The sequence below is a fragment of the Homo sapiens genome, chromosome 5, assembly GCF_000001405.40.
Source record: "Homo sapiens chromosome 5, GRCh38.p14 Primary Assembly".
Taxonomy (NCBI): Eukaryota; Metazoa; Chordata; class Mammalia; order Primates; family Hominidae; genus Homo; species Homo sapiens.
This window is the reverse complement of record NC_000005.10, coordinates 112,530,892-112,549,761: the sequence shown is the minus strand read 5'-3', so window position 1 is coordinate 112,549,761 and position 18,870 is coordinate 112,530,892. Positions and strand designations below refer to the sequence as shown.

Sequence of the window (18,870 nt, the reverse complement as noted above, 5' to 3'; positions counted from 1 at the left end):
GAGAACAATGTAAAAGATCTGCCTTCATCTTGCAGAACTGTGCAGTGTTTAAAAGAACAAGGGCTTTGGAATGAGAAATACCCGGGTTTAAGTCCTATTCCTGTGTTGTACTGGTTGTGTGGCCTTGGTCCAGTTACTCATCTGTTCTATGTGTCTGTTTTCTCATCTGAAAAATGGATATAATCTCATAGGGTTTATGGAAGATCAACTGTACAGTCAAGAGACAGAAATCACACTGATTATTTGAACAGGGAGATTTCATGTAAAGATTTTTTAATCAAGTACTCAAGAAATGAAAAGGCAGAAAGGAAACACTGAGAAGGCAGAAATCGTAGAAGCAGTTACTGCTCTAGAACTGGGTGAATACATGAAAGAGTTTGGAGTTGTTAAAGTTTAGAAGCTTGAAGGAGGTGGTGCCCCGCAGAGCTGAAACTGAAACCTCTGAGACCGGGTTGAGGGTCATTGCATTGTACTATTGCCTCAGGATTTTGAAGGTGGCCCCTGGTAGGGAATAGGTAGGACCGTGACCTTCAAGGAGAGGTGCTAACTGGTTGGTGCTGGGGTCTCTAGGGGGTATGATGATGCTGGTTCTAAGGGGAGTGATGATGCTAGTTTATCATGCCCCAGTATTTAGGGGTAATGCAAATATCAATTCCTGAATAAATGTTGGAATGAATTCCTAAGTGTCTGAGACCTCAGTGGTTGTCTCTTGTTTTAATTGCTGGAATTTTCCATTAACTTTATTACTCATGGAAGTACTAAGATACATCCCAGAAAATCCCCAGCATCTGAGACATGGTCCTCCCTACTTTCATTTTGCAGTAGCAACTGTTAACTTAAAAATCACAAGATGTATAAATTTAGAACGGGAGAAGAGACTATTTCATCTAAAGTGTTACAGCCTATAAGATGGCCATCCTTCAGACTGGGAAGTACAGCCTCTGGCTGGAGCCCAGAAACAGGCACTTGGAAGGAGGAGGGGTTGGGGTATAAGTTTTATACTGAACAGGTTGACTAAACATACATATTCAACAGGTTACAGGAGGAGCTGTGAATATTCATGAAGGTGGCCCTGATGCATACGTCTTGAACAAACATGCAAGTAATATAAAACCCATGTTCACTTTGGGGTGGAGATGCAACATTTAAGTGTATTATAATGAGGCCCTGTACTTCAAAAGATCTTTTCAAGACATGAAGGGATGCAAGTGCATAATCTTTGTAAACTGGCCAGAACCAGTCCAGGGTTGGTGGTTTTCTTATCTGGGGAAAGTTATTGAAGTCAGTCTCTTGTCCAGTGAAAACTGTAGTTATGGCTGGTGGAACAGTCCAGTGAGTCAGCGTCTGTGAGCTGGATGAGTTGTGACTGTTTTAATCGTGCTTATCTTGAGGCCAGTGCTTGTTTAGTTGCTGGAGAAAAAGAAAAATTTTGTGGCAGTTAGAACATAGATTATTCTTCAAGTGTAGGGATGCGTGACTTAACTCTTGCCTGACATGGCCTTAGGTCCTTTTTATATGTTGGTATCTTATTGTCACCAAGAGTCTGTTGTGTTAAACTTATGATCTTTATTTTAACATTTAGGCTGGTCACTTGTTCTGTCTAAGCCATAAAAGGAGGTCTAATGAGGTAGTCTGACCTGCTGTCCCATGATGGTCAGGAACTCAGTTTTAAGCTTTTTCTGGGGTCCCCTCAGCTACAAGAGAGTCTGTTCTCAGTAGAGAGGCCAGGGTTGGCGGGGGCAGGGTAGGATTTTATTTTTAGTTTACACAACACAATTTGTTCTTGGTATTCAGGATCAATCATCCCAGCCAGGAGAGTAATCCTCCTCTTTGCCTGTGGGTTCAGGAGCATGAGTACCCCCAAATGACCACTTGACAGCCTACTTTTCCAATTCAATGGAATCATTGCTGTGTTCCTGAAAGGAAGCATTCTTTCCTTTAGAATAAGTGCTTCAAACCAGTGCAGATTGCCATTGCAGGAATGGGGTGCATAAATTCTGTAAGAAGCTTATCAAGTGTATTAGTGGGAGGAACCACTCTGCCATCCATCCTTGATTCCTGGACCCATGTATTCTGGCTGTGGATGAGACAGCACCAAATACTGGTCATTAATTCTAACATATACTGTGTCCTATAAGACAGAACACGGTCCTTTGAGGATATTGTCTTTTAACCGGCACTGTAACCTACTTTTCAATGAATCAGTCCACCATTCTTTCAGGCCAGCTGCTTCTGGGTGACGGAAACATGGTCAGACAGACAGGCATCTGGCATATAGTGCCTTCCATACAACCTGGTCCAAAGTGTATCAGTGCCAGTGACAGACCAGGCATTCCTCCAAATCAGGGGCATGCACTATCTCCTCAGGCAACTGAAGGAGACCAGCTCAGCCAGACATCCAGCAGGTACTCTCAATCTCCAGCCCCATCTGGGTGTTCTTTGTGCTTCTTGCTTTTTTTTTTTTTTTTCTGGAAATGGTCCTCTCATGGATACTCTCCTCCTGGGCATGTCATTGCTGGTGTCAAAGGCTTTTCAGCCCAGAAAGCTCCTCTGCTGGAACCTGGGAGACTTCCAAGCCACAGAGAGACTTCTTCCTGCTAAACAGCATGGGCAATGGCTTTCTAGACCCATCCAGACTTCATGACAGCTGCATCATAATTGGCATAATTCTCCATGGTCACTCAGCCACAGCAGGAATTGTGGGCCTGGAAAACGAGTCACTTCTTTCTCTTGGGCACAGCGACTATATCAGGGCAAGGCTAGTCTAGTATGCCTGGACCCCAGGCCATGTTTCAGGTCAGCTATGCCCAGCTCTACCACCATTGCCTACACCCTTCTTTAACACTTAATGCAATATCGTTGACATGAATTAAATCAAACCTTATTTTGGTTATTTCCACTAAGGCCATACTTGGTGAAAGTAATTCCAGTATATGATTATTACTGGAACACCAGTAAAAATTATGAACCCTGTAACACTAAGGTTTCATTGTCCTTGAACTGTCATTAAATGGGTTCTTGGAAGAAAATAAACAAGCAAGTTTCTGGATAAGCTCAAATTCTAGGGATTATTGACTTGTAAGTCTGTATGTGTGCAAGTACACAAATATTTTTAAATTTAATAAGAACAATAATGTTTGTATGTTGCAAATTTTGAATAAGTTTTCCCGATGCGTTTTAGGTCTTTGAATTATTATATAAAGGAGTTTTGAATCTGAAGCTAATTTATTTGGCATTTAATCAGAAAAAAACTTCACAAATACTAAGATAACATTTCTTTTCTTTGATTCTTTGTGCTGTAAAATTGGGGCAGGGCTGACAGGGAGCCAGAAGCCAGTTCCATCTGTGCTCCTAACACTACCTAATATGTGGTGTGTGACCCTGAGCTTTGCTCCTCTGGGTCTCAGTTTCCTCATCTGTAAAATGAAGTGAGTAAACGAGATGATTTCCAGGTTGTTTTTACTTTAAGAGAATGATATGAAATGATACCTATCTTATGATTTTGTATAATGTGACCAATAAAAGGATGAGGTAGGGACTGAATTAGCTGAAGATGACCATAACTTTCACATGTAAATTCAAACTCTTCTCAGCCTAAATTCTCAAGGTAAAGCAATTATCAATTCCTACAAAATAAATATGGAATATCTGATCTTAGTATATCTTGTTTTTATTTCTCTAGAGAATTGGCAAAAGATTTCTCCCATATTTATTGGTAGCAGAGAAATTCAAGCTAGGTGCTCGCAGCCAGAAGCTTGTGGCTGGTCACTATGAAATCCGCACAGCTTACTCAGATTACTTTGAAGGGTTTTACAATGGGTTTTATTTTATTCTCTACCTTGTCATGGCCAGATCAGAACGCCTCTTTGAATACTAAATGGTGACTTCCTGCTCTCAACACTGTCTAACTTAAAACACAAATAAGAAGATGCAGCTAGAGACAGGTGAAGAAGGAAAAGAAAAAAAAAGCTGTTGGATGAAGGGTATCCTTTTAGTTTTATGCGTGTGTTGGGATCTGGCCCAACACTAGTCTTAGGAGTTCAGACACTTGGAAATGCTTCCACATCGGGAAGCGGAGATGAGAATGAGAAAAGTAAAGCTCATCCATTTCATGTCTTGAGCTACTTGCTCATGTACAGTGCATGGTTCCAGGGAAAGCAGACACACAGGCACAAGAAGTAACCTGACTAAATTGTGCTTATGAGTTTACATTGGTAGTGAGGACAGTGTCTGAGAGACTGCTCTCTGGAGGACCAGAGGCTGGCCAAGAGGCTTGAGAGGGGAATGGATTTTGAGCCCCTGCGCATGAATGAAGAATTCAAAGGTGGTTGTCAAGCCAGTGCAAGAGGATCGCTTGAGACCAGGAGTTCAAGACCAGCCTGGGCAACATAGCAAGACCTTGTCTTTCCAAATAAAAAATAATTAGCTGTACATGGCAGCATGCACCCGTAGTCCCAGCCACTTGGGAGGCTGAGGACAGAGGAATGCTTGAGCCCAAGATGTTAAGCCTGTAGTGAGCTGTGATTGCATCACTGCACCAAGGAAAATGGTGCTAAACCATTCACACAAAGTCTATCCATATGATCCAGTCATCTCCCACTAGGCTCTACCTCCAACACTGGAGATTATATTTCTTTCTTTTTTGTTTGTGAGTTTGATTTTTTTTTATTATACTTTAAGTTCTGGGATACATGTGCAGAATGTGCAGGTTTGTTACATAGGTATACATGTGCCATGGTGGTTTGCTGCACCCCTCAACCTGTCATCTACATTAGGTATTTCTCCTAATGCTACTCCTCCCCTTACCCCCTACCCCCCAGCAGGCCCCGTTTTGTGATGTTCCCCTCCCTGTGTCCATGTGTTCTCATTGTTCAACTCCCACTTATGAGTGAGAACATGCAGTGTTTAGTTTTCTGTTCCTGTGTTAGTTTGCTGGGAAGGATGGTTTCTAGCTTCATCCATGTCCCTGCAAAGGGTATGAACTCATTCTTTTTTATGGCTGCATAGTATTCCATGGCGTATATGTGCCACATTTTCTTTATCCAGTCTATCATTGGTGGGCATTTGGGTAGATTCCAACTCTTCGCTATTGTAAATAATGCTACAATAAATATATGTGTGCATGTGTCTTTAGGGTAGAATGACTTAGAATCCTTTGGGTATATAACCAATAATGGGATTGCTGGCTCAAATAGTATTTCTGGTTCTAGATCCTTGAGGAATCACCACACTGTCTTCCACAATGGTTGAATTAATTTACACTCCAACAGCAATGTAAAAGCTGTTTCTCCACATCTTCTCTAGCATCTATTGTTTCCTGACTTTTTAATGATCACCATTCTAACTGGTGTGAGATGGTATCTCATTGTGGTTTTGATTTTCCAGTGTCATCCACCAGTAATGATGAGCTTTTTTTCATATGTCTGTGGCCGCATAAATGCCTTATTTTGAGAAGTGTCTGTTCATATCCTTTGCCCACTTTTTGATGGGGTTGTTTTCTTCTCAAAAATTTGTTTAAGTTCCTTGTAGATTCTGGATATTAGCCCTTTGTGAGATGGATAGATTGCCAAGATTTTATCCCATTTTGTAGGTTGCCTGTCCACCCTGATGATACTTTCTTTTGCTGTGCAGAAGCTCTTTACTTTAATTAAATCCCATTTGTCAATTTTGGCTTTTGCTGCCATTGCTTTTGATGTTTTATTCATGAAGTCTTTGCCCATGCCTATGTCCTGAATGGTATTGCCTAGGTTTTCTTCTAGGATTTTTATGGTTTTAGGTCTTATGTTTAAGTCTTTAATCTATCTTGAGTTAATTTTTATATATGGTTTAAGGAAGGGGTCCACATTCAGTTTTCTGCATATGGCTAGCCAGTTTTCCCAATACCGTTTATTAAATAGGGAATCCTTTCCCCATTGCTTGTTTGTGTCAGGTTTGTCAAAGATCAGATGGTTGTAGAGGTGCAATGTTATTTCTGAGGCCTCTGATCTGTTCCATTGGTCTATATATCTGTTTTGGTACCAGTATCATGTTGTTTTGGTTACTGTAGCCTTGTAGTATAGTTTGAAGTCTGGTACTGCGATGCCTTTAGCTTTGGTCTTTTTGCTTAGGATTGTCATGCTATACTGGCTTTTTTTTGGTTCCACATGAAATTTAAAGCAGTTTTTTCTAATTCTGTGAAGAAAGTCAATGGTAGCTTGATGGAAATAGCACTGAATCTATAAATTACTTTGGGCAGTATGGCCATTTACACGATATTGATTCTTCCTATCCATGACCATGGAATGTTTTTCCATTTGTTTGTGTCCTCTCTTATTTCCTTGAACAGGGGTTTGTAGTTTAAGAAGTCCTTTACATCCCTTGTAAGTTGTATTCCTAGGTGTTTTATTCTCTTTGTAGCAATTGTGAATGGGAGTTCACTCATGATTTGGCTTTCTGTTTGTCTGTTATTGGTGTATAAGAATGCTTGTGATTTTTGCACATTGATTGTATATCCTGAGACTTTGCTGAAGTTGCTTATCAGCTTAAGGAGATTTTGGGCTGAGACGATGGGGTTTTCTAAATATACAATCATGCCATCTGCAAACAGAGACAATTTGACTTCCTCTCTTCCTATTGAATACGCTTTATTTCTTTCTCTTGCCTGATTGCCCTGGCCAGAACTTCCAATACTATGTTGAACAGGAGTGGTGAGAGAGGGCATCCTTTTCTTATTCCAGTTTTCAAATGGAATGTTTCCAGCTTTTTCCCATTCAGTATGATATTGGCTATGGGTTTCTCATAAATAGCTCTTATTATTTGAGATATGTTCCATCAATACCTAGTTAATTGAGTGTTTTTAGCACGAAGAGGTATTGAATTTTGTTGAAGGACTTTTCTGCATCTATTGAGATAATCATGTGGTTTTTGTCATTGATTCCGTTTATGTAATGGATTACATTTATTGATTTGCATATGTTGAACCAGCCTTGCATCCCAGGGATGAAGCCAACTTGGTCACGGTGGATAAGCTTTTTGATGTGCTGCTGGATTTGGTTTGCCAGTATTTTATTGAGTTTTTTCACATCAGTGTTCATCAGGGATATTGGCCTGAAATTTTCTTTTTGTGTTGTGTCTCTGCCAGGTTTTGTTATCAGGATGAAGTGGGCCTTATAAAACGAGTTAGGGAGGAGTCCCTGTTTTTCTATTGTTTGGAATAGTTTCAGAAGGAATGGTACCAGTTCCTCTTTGTACCTCTGGTAGAATTTGGCTGTGAATCCATCTGGTCCTGGTCTTTTTCTGGTTGGTAGGTTATTAATTACTGCCTCAATTTCGTAACTTGTTATTGGTCTATGCAGGGATTTGACTTCTTCCTGCTTTAGTGTCAGGAGGGTGTATTTGTCCAGGAATTTATTCATTTCTTCTAGATTTTCTAGTTTATTTGCATAGAAGTGTTTATAGAATTCTCTGATGGTAGTTTTTATTTCTGTGGGATCAGTGGTGATATACCCTTTATCATTTTTTTGTTGTATCTATTTGACTCTTCTCTCTTTTCTTCTTTATTAGTCTGGCCAGTGGTCTAGCTATTTTGTTAATCTTTTCAAAAAACCAGCTCCTGGATTCATTGATTTTTTTTGAAGGGGTTTTTGTGTCTCTATCTCCTTGAGTTCTGCTCTGATCTTAGTTATTTCTTGTCTTCTGTTACCTTTTGAATTTGTTTGCTCTGCTTTCTAGTTCCTTTAATTGTGATGTTAGGGTGTCAATTTTAGACCTTTCCTGCTTTCTCTTGTGGGCATTTAGTTCTATAAATTTCCCTCTAAACACTGCTTTAGCTGTGTCCCAGAGATTCTGGTATGATGTGTCTTTGTTCTCATTGGTTTCAAAGAACTTAATTATTTCTGCCTTAATTTCGTTATTTACCCAGTAGTCATTCAGGAGCACGTTGTTGTTCAGGTTCCATGAGGTTGTGCAGTTTTGAGTGAGTTTCTTAATCGTGAGTTTTAATTTGATTCCACTGTGGTCTGAGAGACTGTTTCTTATGATTTCTGTTGTTTTGCATTTGCTGAGGAGTGTTTTACTTCCAATTATGTGGTCCATTTTAGAATAAGTGCTATGTGGTGGTGAGAAGAATGTATATTCTGTTGATTTGTGATGGAGAGTTCTGTAGATGTCTATTAAGCCCACTTCGTCCAGAGCTGAGTTCAAGTCCTGAATATCCTTGTTAATTTTCTGTCTCATTGATCTGTCTAATATTGACAGTGGGGTATTAAAGTCTTCCACTATTATTGTGTGGGAGTCTCTAAGTCTCTTTGTAGGTCTCTAAGGACTTGCTTTATGAATCTGGGTTCTTCTATATTGGGTGCATATATATTTAGAATATTTAGCTCTTCTCGTTGAATTGATCCCTTTACCATTATGTAATGGCCTTCTTTGTCTCTTTTGATCATTGTTGCTTTAAAGTTTGTTTTATCAGAGACTAGGATTGAAACCCCTGCTTATTTTTGCTTTCCATTTGCTTTGTAAATATTCCTCCATCCCTTTATGTTGAACCTATGTGTGTTTTTGCACATGAGATGGGTCTCCTGAATACAGCGCACCAATGGGTCTTGACTCTTTATCCAATTTGCCAGTCTGTGTTTTTTAATTAGGGCATTTGGACATTTACATTTAAAATTAATATTGTTATGTGTGAATTTGATCCTGTCATTATGATGCTAGCTGGTTATTTTGTACATTAGTTGATGCAGTTTCCTCATAGTGTCGATGGTCTTTACATTTTGCTATGTTTTTGCAGTGACTGGTACTGGTTTTTCCTTTCCATATTTAGTGCTTCCTTCAGGAGCTCTTATAAGGCAGGCCTGGTGATGACAAAATCCCTCAGCATTTGTTTGTCCCTAAAGGATTTTATTTCTCCTTCACTTTTGAAGCTTAGTTTGGCTGTATATGAAATTCTGGGTTGAAAATTCTTTTCCTTAAGAATGTTGAATATTGGCCCTCACTCTCTTCTGGCTTACAGGGTTTCTGCAGAGAGATCTGCTGTTTGTCTGATACACTTCCCTTTGTAGGTAACCTGACTTTTCTCTCTGGCAGCCCTTAACATTTTTTCCTTTATTTCAACCTTGGTGAATCTGACAATTATGTGTCTTGGGCTTGCTCTTCTCGAGGAGTATCTTAGTGATATTCTCTGTATTTCCTGAATTTGAATGTTGGCCTGTCTTGATAGGTTGGGGAAGTTCTCCTGGATAATATCCTGAAGTGTGTTTTCCAACTTGATTCCATTCTCCCCATCACTTTCAGGTACACCAATCAAACATAGATTTGGTCTTTTCACATCATCCCATATTTCTTGGAGGCTTTGTTCATTCATTTTCATTCTTTTTCTCTAATCTTGTCTTCACACTTTATTTCATTAAGTTGATCTTCAATCTCTGATACCCTTTCTTCGCCTTGATCAATTCGGCTATTGATACTTATGTATGCTTCATGAAGTTCTTTTGCTGTGTTTCTCAGCTCCATCAGGTTATTTATGTTCTTCTCATACCGGGTTACTGTGGTTAGCAGTTCCTGTGACATTTTATGAATGTTCTTAGCTTCCTTGCACTGGGTTAGAACGTGCTTCTTTAGCTCAGAGGAATTTGTTATCACCTACTTTCTGAAGGCTCCTTCTGTCAGTTCGTCAAACTCATTCTCCATCCATTTTGTTCCCTTGCTGGTGAGGGGTTGTGATCCTTTGTAGGAGAAGAGGCATTCTGGTTTTTGGAATTTTCAGCATTTTTGCACTTGTTTTTCCCCATCTTCATGGATTTATCTACCTTTGATCTTTGATGATGATGACCTTTGCGTAGGGTATTTATGTGGATGTCCTTTCTGTTGATGTTGATGTTATTTTTTTCTGTTTGTTAGGTTTCCTTCTAACAGTCAGGCCCCCTCTTCTGCAGGTCTGCTGGAGTTTGCTGGAGGTCTACTTCAGATTCTATGTCCCTGGGTATCACCAGTGAAGGCTGCAGAACAGCAAAGATTGCTGCCTTCTCCTTCCTCTGGAAGCTTTGTCCCAGAAGGGCACCTGCCAGATGCCAGCCAGAGCTCTCCTGTATGAGGTGTCTGTCGACCCCTGTAGAGAAATGTCTCAGTCAGGCGGCACGGGGAGTCAGGGAACCCCTTGAGGAGGAAGGCTGTCCCTTAGCAGAGCTTGAGCACTGTGCTGGGAGATCTGCTGCTCTCTTCAGAGCCAGCAGGCAAGAACGTTTAAGTCTGCCGAAGCTGCGCCCACAGCCCCCTTTCCCCCAGGTGCTCTGTCCCAGGGAGATGAGAGTTTTATCTGTAATCCCCTGACTGGGGTTGCTGCCTTTGTTTCAGAGATGTGCTGCCCAGAGAGAAGGAATCTAGAGAGGCAGTCTGGCTACAGCAGCTTTGCTGTGCTTCAGTGGGCTCTGCCCAGTTTGAACTTCCCAGTGGCTTTGTTTACACTGTGAGGGGAAAACTGCTACTCAAGCCTCAGTAATGGTGGATGCCCCTCCCCCCACCAAGCTTGAGCATCCCAGGTCGACTTCAGACTGCTATGCTGGCAGCGAGAATTTCAAGCCAGTGATGGTAGCCTGCTGGGCTTCATGGGGGTGGGATCCACTGAGCTAGACCACTTGGCTCCCTGGCTTCAGCCCCCTTTCCAGAGGAGTGAACAGTTTTGCCTTGCTGGCATTCCAGGCACCACTGGGGTATGAAAAAGAAAAAACTCCTGCTGATAGCACAGTGTCTGCCCAAACGGCCACCCAGTTTTGTACTTGAAACCCAGTGTCCTGGTGGTGTAGGCACCCGAGGGAATCTCCTGGCCTGCAGGTTGTGAAAACCATGGGAAAAGCCTAGTGTCTGGGCCAGACAGCGCTGTCCCTCATGGCACAGTCCCTCAAAGCTTCCCTTGGCTAGGGGAGGCAGTTCCCCAACCCCTTGCACTTTCTGGGTGAGGCAATGCCCCACCCTGCTTCTGTTCACCCTCTGTGGGCTGCACCCACTGTCTAACCAGTCCCAGTGAGATGAGCTTGGTACCTCAGTTGGAATTGCAGAAATCACTCACCTTCTATGTTGGTCTCACTGGGAGCTGCAGACCGGAGCTGCTCCTATTCAGCCATCTTTGAGATTACATTTCAACATCAGATTTTGGGGAGACAATCAAACCATATCACCAGCCTAGATTATATTTGTCTTTACAGCAGTTCAGTCAGTGGTACAAACAACTTTTAATATTATTTTAGGGAGGAAGCAACTCATAAAGGCAAATGTACCCAGGGCCCATGGAAGTCATAATATAGTTCTGATAACAACTTTTCTATGATCTTAATTTTATGGATGAGAAAACTGAAGCATGCTTAAGTGTCTTGCCCAGTGCTACACAGCTGGCAACTGGCAGAGCTGAAACTCGTGTCTAGGCACTCTAATTCCAGTGTTTCACAGAACACTGTCCTCAGCTCTGCAGATTTGCTTTTCAATGGAGTATTTCACATGAATTTTCCAGATAATTAAAAACAGCTCTCTACAAAACCAAAACATTTTGTTTTAATAATTTTGGATGAAGATCTTCCATACCTTTGTTATTTACTTTCCTGCCTTATTAATTAGATCATCCTGAACATAAGGTCGTCTTTTTCATGATGATGGTATTTTTGTCCATAGCTAGTCTTTATTGAATGTTTTTTATGTACCTGCACTATTCTATGATTTTTGCATGTATTAACTAATTGAATTCTCACAACCCTATGAGGCAGAGTTTACAGATGAGGAAACCAATGTTAAGTGAGATTAAGGTACTTAACCAAGTTCACCCAGCTGTAAGGTAGCAATTGGATCCTGGCTACAAAGCTGAGCCTCTTAACCAGGGTGTAAGAGGAGCTTTGTGTTGTGCAGTGCAGAGTGCTGCTCTCAGGAGCTTTATTTGTACCCCTAATAGCTTCAGAATAATAGATTACTTTAGGCCTGTGTCCACTTTTCAGGACATGTCCTCTCTCCCTGTCAGGTAGTTGGCTGATAATTCTAGCTGTTTTGTTTCTAATTTGTTTCTCAATAAATTTGTGGAGTGCCTACTATGTGCCAGGTATTGTCCTTACTTGCCGCTTCCAAATTACTTTAATGGAAGAACCAGAGAGCCCATTATTTTAGCTTTGTGTGTTAAGTATTGTTAATATGTGCTGTATGAAAAGGTGCCCCATTCATCAGCCTTGTGATCCTTATTGCCTGGCCTTGTGAGATTGGTTTTAGATGCCTTGAGGGCTTTTGTGTGTTAATGTTTATTTCTTGGCTTTCAGCTAAATTTTCAGTAGTGAGCACTGGTAAGTGGCATGGTAGATATTATTATATGTAAGGAGAAAGTACTTGGCATGATACTGTAATTCAGCAAGTGGCTTGACAGAATTCATTCACCTGCTTCTGTGCAGTGTCTTCATGGTCTTTACTGAATAGTGTTACAGATGATTTAAATGGAACATAAGACTCCATTGGGCTGTTCTGGATTATTCTTTCCTTAAGGCTCAATGTTCATTATGAAGCCTGAATTTGGGATGGACTTTATCTCCTTACATATATATCTGCCATCTCAATGTTTTTAATGTGAGAAGAAATGCTTTTTATTTGTCTTGACATCTGTTTCTACTGAAATGTCACATTACTGACCTTGTGGCCTTCATGGCTCCTTTAGAGTTTCATACTCCAATTGGCCATAGCTCTAGGATTTGAAGGCCACTCCCTGCCATTATTGTGATTATTTTCTATAAACCTAATTTCAGTTATTGGCCCTCGAAGCCCTCAGGAAGCATGCTACTACTCCCTACACCTTATTCTTTATGACCACCCCAGAATGCTGTGCCAACTGGGAATCAGTTTATAAACCTACAGAGGATTGATGGTTTCTGGGCCCTGCTGCTCAGTCATCATGGAAATCCCTGCAGCCCTTTGTAGACTCTGGAATATTAACTGACAATCTGCATAAGAGAAAAATAGCCAAAGGATGAGAAAATTTCATGAAACCTCTACATCTGTTTAAAAACAAACAAACGAACAATCTACCCTAGGCTATTACCTAAGTCAGAGTGTGCAAACAGGTTGAATTTAGGCCACAGACATTTTGTTTTGCCTGCATCTTAAACCTCAAACCTTTTCAATCAATTGCTTTCATTTAAAAATCAGGAAACTTCTCTAAAAATATTCTAGATTTTGAACTTCTTTTGAAAACTGGGTGATCTGACAACATTGGTCCCATGTTTCTGTGTAACAGTAATTGGCTGGACTTGGCAGCACCTGGCCACTGTGCACAGGGCTTGCCTTGCCCCCACTTGCTGCAGTCCATATTGCAGTCCACTTTGCTTATGTATTTTACTTGCCTGTTCCCTGGAGGCATTTGCTACCCCATGGGCATTGTATCCCGTAATACGAACCCATGAAGCTAAAAGCTCAAAAGTTCAGGTCCGCAATATCTCTGCTTAGTTTTCTGCTTAGTTAATACAATTTTAAGAAATTAATATTGAAAATACGTGCTCACAAAAATTAAAACACTGTATAAATATAGAAGTGTATACAGTAAAAACTACAAGACCAGTGACCTTGTTGATCCAACAATTCCCTTTCCTCTTTTCCCAGAAATAATACTGTTAACAGTATCTTTTCCATTCTATTTCTGCAAATATAATTCTTTATCCAACAACTGTTACCTATTTTTTGTCAGGCCATACGTGTATACAAATATTGGGTCCCACACATGTATAAAGAGTGATGTGGTATATTAAAGTAATTATCTGTGTAGTTAACAAAAAATCCTCTTGTTGAAATGTCTGAATAGTAGAGGAAAAATACTTTTTAATTATCTGGCTAATTGCCTCCATTAATCATCCTTTCATGTTCTTTCTTCATGGAATGAATTCATCCATTCAGTAGATATTTACTGAGTTCTGATTATGTTCAAAGCACTGTGCTAGACAAAGTGGGAATTACAGAGATAAACTAAAAACAAGATCAACAACATTACCGTAGGAAAGAGGTGATCAATTTTTGCCTCCCTCAAAAGAGATGAAGGTGTTGGATTTGGAATTAAACTTACTCTATTTTCAGTGGACCACGTCTAAAATGTGAGAGATTACAAAAGTCCCAGGAATGATCCAAACCTAATAGCTCAAAAGAAGTTTCAGCAGAGTGGAGGACCTGGGTGGTGCATAGATGGCAGGAGATAGACCCACCCAGCAGTGAGGCTGAGGTGAGTACAAGGGAGAGCTCAGTGATAAAGGAAGACCTCTGAGGATACTGGCCCCAAGATGTTTGGCTTGTGTTCAGGCAGATAAAAACCACCATGGGCACGGACTGTGAGTCTTCTTCTCTCCCAAGAAGATTTTGATGACAATTTTACTAAGATGAAGTTAAGATGAGACAGCAACAAAGGCAGAAATAAAATTAGAGATGTGCTTGCGAGAGATTTAAAGAGAAAGCAGAATTTTGCCCTTGAGGTCTTCTTAGTTATACCTCAGTTACCTAGAAATAATATATTTTTGTTGTTGGAACACTCTCCCTAATTACAGAATGATAAACAAAACAAAACAAAACAAAAAACAAAACAAACAAAACCCTGTCAATCTTTAAAGAAATGAACAACCAAAAAAGGGTTACCATAAGGACTTTTGTTTCCTCTGTAGATTTTCAGACAGTTGGGGCCTCTTGGAAATTATAGAAAACCCCTGTTTGTTCTAGATTGGCAGCCACTGCAAATGTATGTAATGAAGGCACGGAGCAAGCAGGCCTCATGGAGCGGAATGATAAGGTGGTATAATTTGTCCCTCACTTTCCTTTTATATTTATTCAATGGGGAAAGTTTTCCCTTGGCTCTTGGATAAAAAACATCAGCAGTCCTATGGCTTTCCTTAACACACTTAACTAATAAAACGATTGCCACTCTTAGTCACCAAGCACAGTCTCAATTCGGAAGTCAAAATTTCTCATCCCATATAAGGCAAAACTCTGAACCTGATTCAAATATAAATCTTCCCTCCCCTACCAGGAAGCCTTCAACTGGAGGAGGGGTGTAGTTGGTTCCTTTTCCCTTCCTATGCCCTTCCTCCCCCAGCCTGATAATTGTGCTTTCTTAACCTTCCAGATCTGAAAGCAAAGAAAGAGAAGAATTAAAATAACCATGAGAGGTTTTACTTGACTGCTGCTACTACAAGGTGGCTTTGCAGCTCTTTTCCCAAGTTCTTGTCTTTTCCCATTCTGAACAATTCGGTCCTGAGCTGATTAGCTGATGCCCACCCAGATTGAGGGTGGGTCTGCCTCTCCCAGTCCACTGACTCAAATGTTAATCTCCTTTGGCAGCACCCTCACAGACACACCCAGAAACAACACTTTGCCTCCTTCAGTCCATTCAATATTAACTATTACAGTTGGCTATGGTGCCCAGAATGGGGTGTCAGAGCCCAAGTTGGGTGAGGAGGGCCTTGCCTCAGAGGGGTGCATTGGTGTGGCATGTCAGACCCCAAGCAGGCTGAGGAGGGCATCTGCACCAAGAAGGCTGTCCAGGGCCAGACACTGGAGTCAAATGAGTTGAGGTGGGTATTTGCATGGGAGTATGGGCTGCCTAAGGAAGCCAGAGCCTGTGCAAGGTGAAGAAAGTTCATGCCTTGTCACACATGGGGTGGCAGCCTGGTGCAGAGTTGGAACCCAAGGAGGAGGGTGGTCTTGTGGAGGGTATCAGAGCATGGACAGGGTGAGGAAGATGTCACTCCACACAGTGAGGCATGATATTGGCAACTTGCTTTCAAATAATTCTGGAAAAAGTTTTTAGTATTGTACATGCATGCTTCTGTAAGTTTGAGATTGTTTTTTTTTTTTTTTTTTAAAAAAAACCCACAACAATTTTCAAATATTCTCTGGCACTGGCGTGAGTTTAAAGGTAATGATTTCATAGATGCCATCATGTATTCTTTGGAGATTTCACTCCTTGTCCTCTCTCCACTTCCACACCATCTTCAAGGATCTCTCTGCAACTCTGTTCATGTGAATGGTGCCCTCTCATTCGGTGTGTTGCTTATTCCCTCTCCAATCCCTATGAGTCAGACTATGCCATCAGCTTCTCTCTACTGAGGACTTTGCCCTCCTAGGTAGCCCTATTGGACAGGATATAAGATGACCTCATGCCAGCTTTCTTGTGTGTGGTTCACATTTCTGTTATGTAAAATCCATGCATCTCTTGCTCTGACAAATTCTGTGTATGCAGGCCTATGTCAACCCAGCCATCTTTCCCTTGGCTTACCAGTCAGCTGCTGTCCAGCCTGTCTCTCACCCTTGAGTGCTCAGAGGGGAGTCACACTCAAGTGCAGTGTGTCCCCACCCCCAGACTTCAGGAAATACACATTAAGCTCTCTGAGAATTCCCTTTGATGCTTCTTCTTCTAAGTTGAGATGAAAAAACAAGCAATTCACATCCTATTCTTTTGCGAATGAGGTGGTAGAGGAACCCACAGCACATGCAGAGCTTTCAGAAGACATATCACTCTTCAAAAATCCCTTATTTTCATTTCCAGTAGCCAGATGCTTTTATATGCTCAACGTGGATGACGGATTTAAGAGCTGTGCAACTCTGGTTTTGACATGCATCATGGTTATGCAAGATATTAATGTTGGGTGAATGTGGGTGAAGGGTGTGTGAAAACCTCTGTACTATTTTTGTCACTTCTTCTGAATCTTAAGCTATTTCAATATGTAAAGTTATTTTAAAAATGGTCATGCAACTAATTTTCATTTTTGGATAACATCTTGTTTTAGAATGTTGGATTTGGATTTAGAATTAAACTTACCCTGTTTTCAGTGGATCAAGTTTGAAATGTTGTCTCTTTTGTGTTTTGATGTCAGAAGTTCTAATTTAAAATCTTAAGTAGTGTGAGATCATGGCCGACAGGATGGGGGCAGGACTAGATTGCAGCTCTGGACAAAGCAGTGGAGGGCAGCTCACATTGTGAATTTTAGCTCCAGATAGACTGCAAGAACAAACCAGCAATCCCAAGAAGACCCACAGACCCTCCGAAGGAAGTGGACTGCTCCTAGAGGATCCAGGAGACCCTCCCAAAACTGTGAGTGCCCCAACTGTGGAAGTGAGAAAGGGAGACCTTCCTCTCCCAAACACACACCCACACTGTAGCAGGACAAGCTGCAGTCAAAACCCCTCAGACACTGAGTTAAAGAAGGAAGGGCTTTATTTAGGCAAGAGCTTTAGCAAGACTCACGTCTCCAACAACCGAGCTCCCCAAGTGAGCAATTCCTGTCCCTTTTAAGGGCTCACAACTCTAAGGGTGTCCGCTTGAGAGGGTCGTGATCAATTGAGCAAGCAGGGGTACATGACTGGGGGCTGCATACATCGGTAATTAGAAAGAAACTGAACAGGACACGGATCTTCACAGTGCCTTTTTTATGCAAATAACTGATTAGGTCAGGGGTCGATCTTTAACTACCAGGCCCAGGGTGTGGCACCGGGTTGTCTGTTTGTAGATTTCATTTCTGCCTTTTAGTTTTTACTTCTTCTTTCTTTGGAGGCAGAAATTGGGCATAAGACAATATAAGGGGTGGTCTCCTCCCTTATTCCCCCCATTTGAGAATCTCACTCAATAGTGGGAGTTCTCACTTTCATCCTCACTACCCATGTCTTCTTGCAAGACAGATCGATGGTGATTCATATAGTACACTTGTGCTGGAGTATTTTGGAGAGCTAAGGTAGCGATGAAGCTTTTTTATCATTTGAAGAAGTACAGGTAGCAAACAAGGGAGCAGTAAGCAGGTTTTTATTACTATTATAACTCCTATTATAAGAGTTTTAAATCCTCCTAGCACTGGGAGCCATTTTCCAAACATGGCTTCAGGATCAAATCCATGCCACACTTGCATGGACACGTGTGCCAGTTTTGTCATATCTCTAACTATGTCTTCAACCACTCGCCCTTGATCATCTATGTGTAGACAGCAATTAGTAAGGTTAAATTTCCCACAGACCCCTCCTTCAACTGCTAGCAAGTAGTCGAGAGCCAATCTACTTTGATAGATAGCATTTCTCATCTGAGTTTCTTGCCAGGCCAGAATAGTCAAGGCTCTGCTGGTTGTATCAGTGGTTATTTCTAAGACAGCTTGTAACCGTATGATTTGGTTCATCATGTAAATGGGGGTCCGGCGTCCCCATGAGCTGTCTTGTGCCCAAGTAGCAGGCCCATAATATTGTATGATTCCCTCAGGGGACCATTCATCATCTTTCCAATTTCCTATAGCTTTGCTTCTCTTTTCACTGGAAGCATAGACAGGGAAGCCCAGGAGTTCACCTGTCTTTATGGGCAGTAGAAAGAAAGATGGTTTAATAGTGACAATAACACAACTACCCGCCCACTGTTCGGATAATTTGGCATAAGCTCTATGCCCACATATCCAGTATAATCCAGTGGGGGCTGTCCAGTCCCGGTGGGACTCCGGGTGGGTCCACACGGTTTGCAACTTTGGGAATTTACTAAGTGGATTCCTCTCTGTGTGATTTGAACTCCACCAAGTGACTGTCTTTGTGGTGCCATTATACAGTTTCTGTTCCAGACAACTAAGTCATTCTACGGGGTAAGTGAATTCTTTTCCTTCTCTAGCTATGCAATATTGTCCAATAATTGAGGCTTTTAGGACTCAGAAATTATTAGAGTGATTCTTTTGAGCCAGGAATTCATCAGGAGCTGGGTCTGTATGTACTAATTTTCAGGCTTCCCATGGCCATTGATCTCCCACTGCAGTTCCTCCACAGACATAACATGAAGTGACATTGAGAGACTGGGCTACATGCTTGGCTAATTGCAAAAACAAATTTCTTGTTTTTCCTGGAATTTCTGGTACTGGCACATTTAGTTCATCATAG

General features: G+C 41.3%; 1 pseudogene; it reads right to left on the bottom strand.

Moving 5' to 3' along the window:
- TMEM183AP6 (TMEM183A pseudogene 6) lies at positions 2,257–2,789 on the bottom strand (annotated as a pseudogene).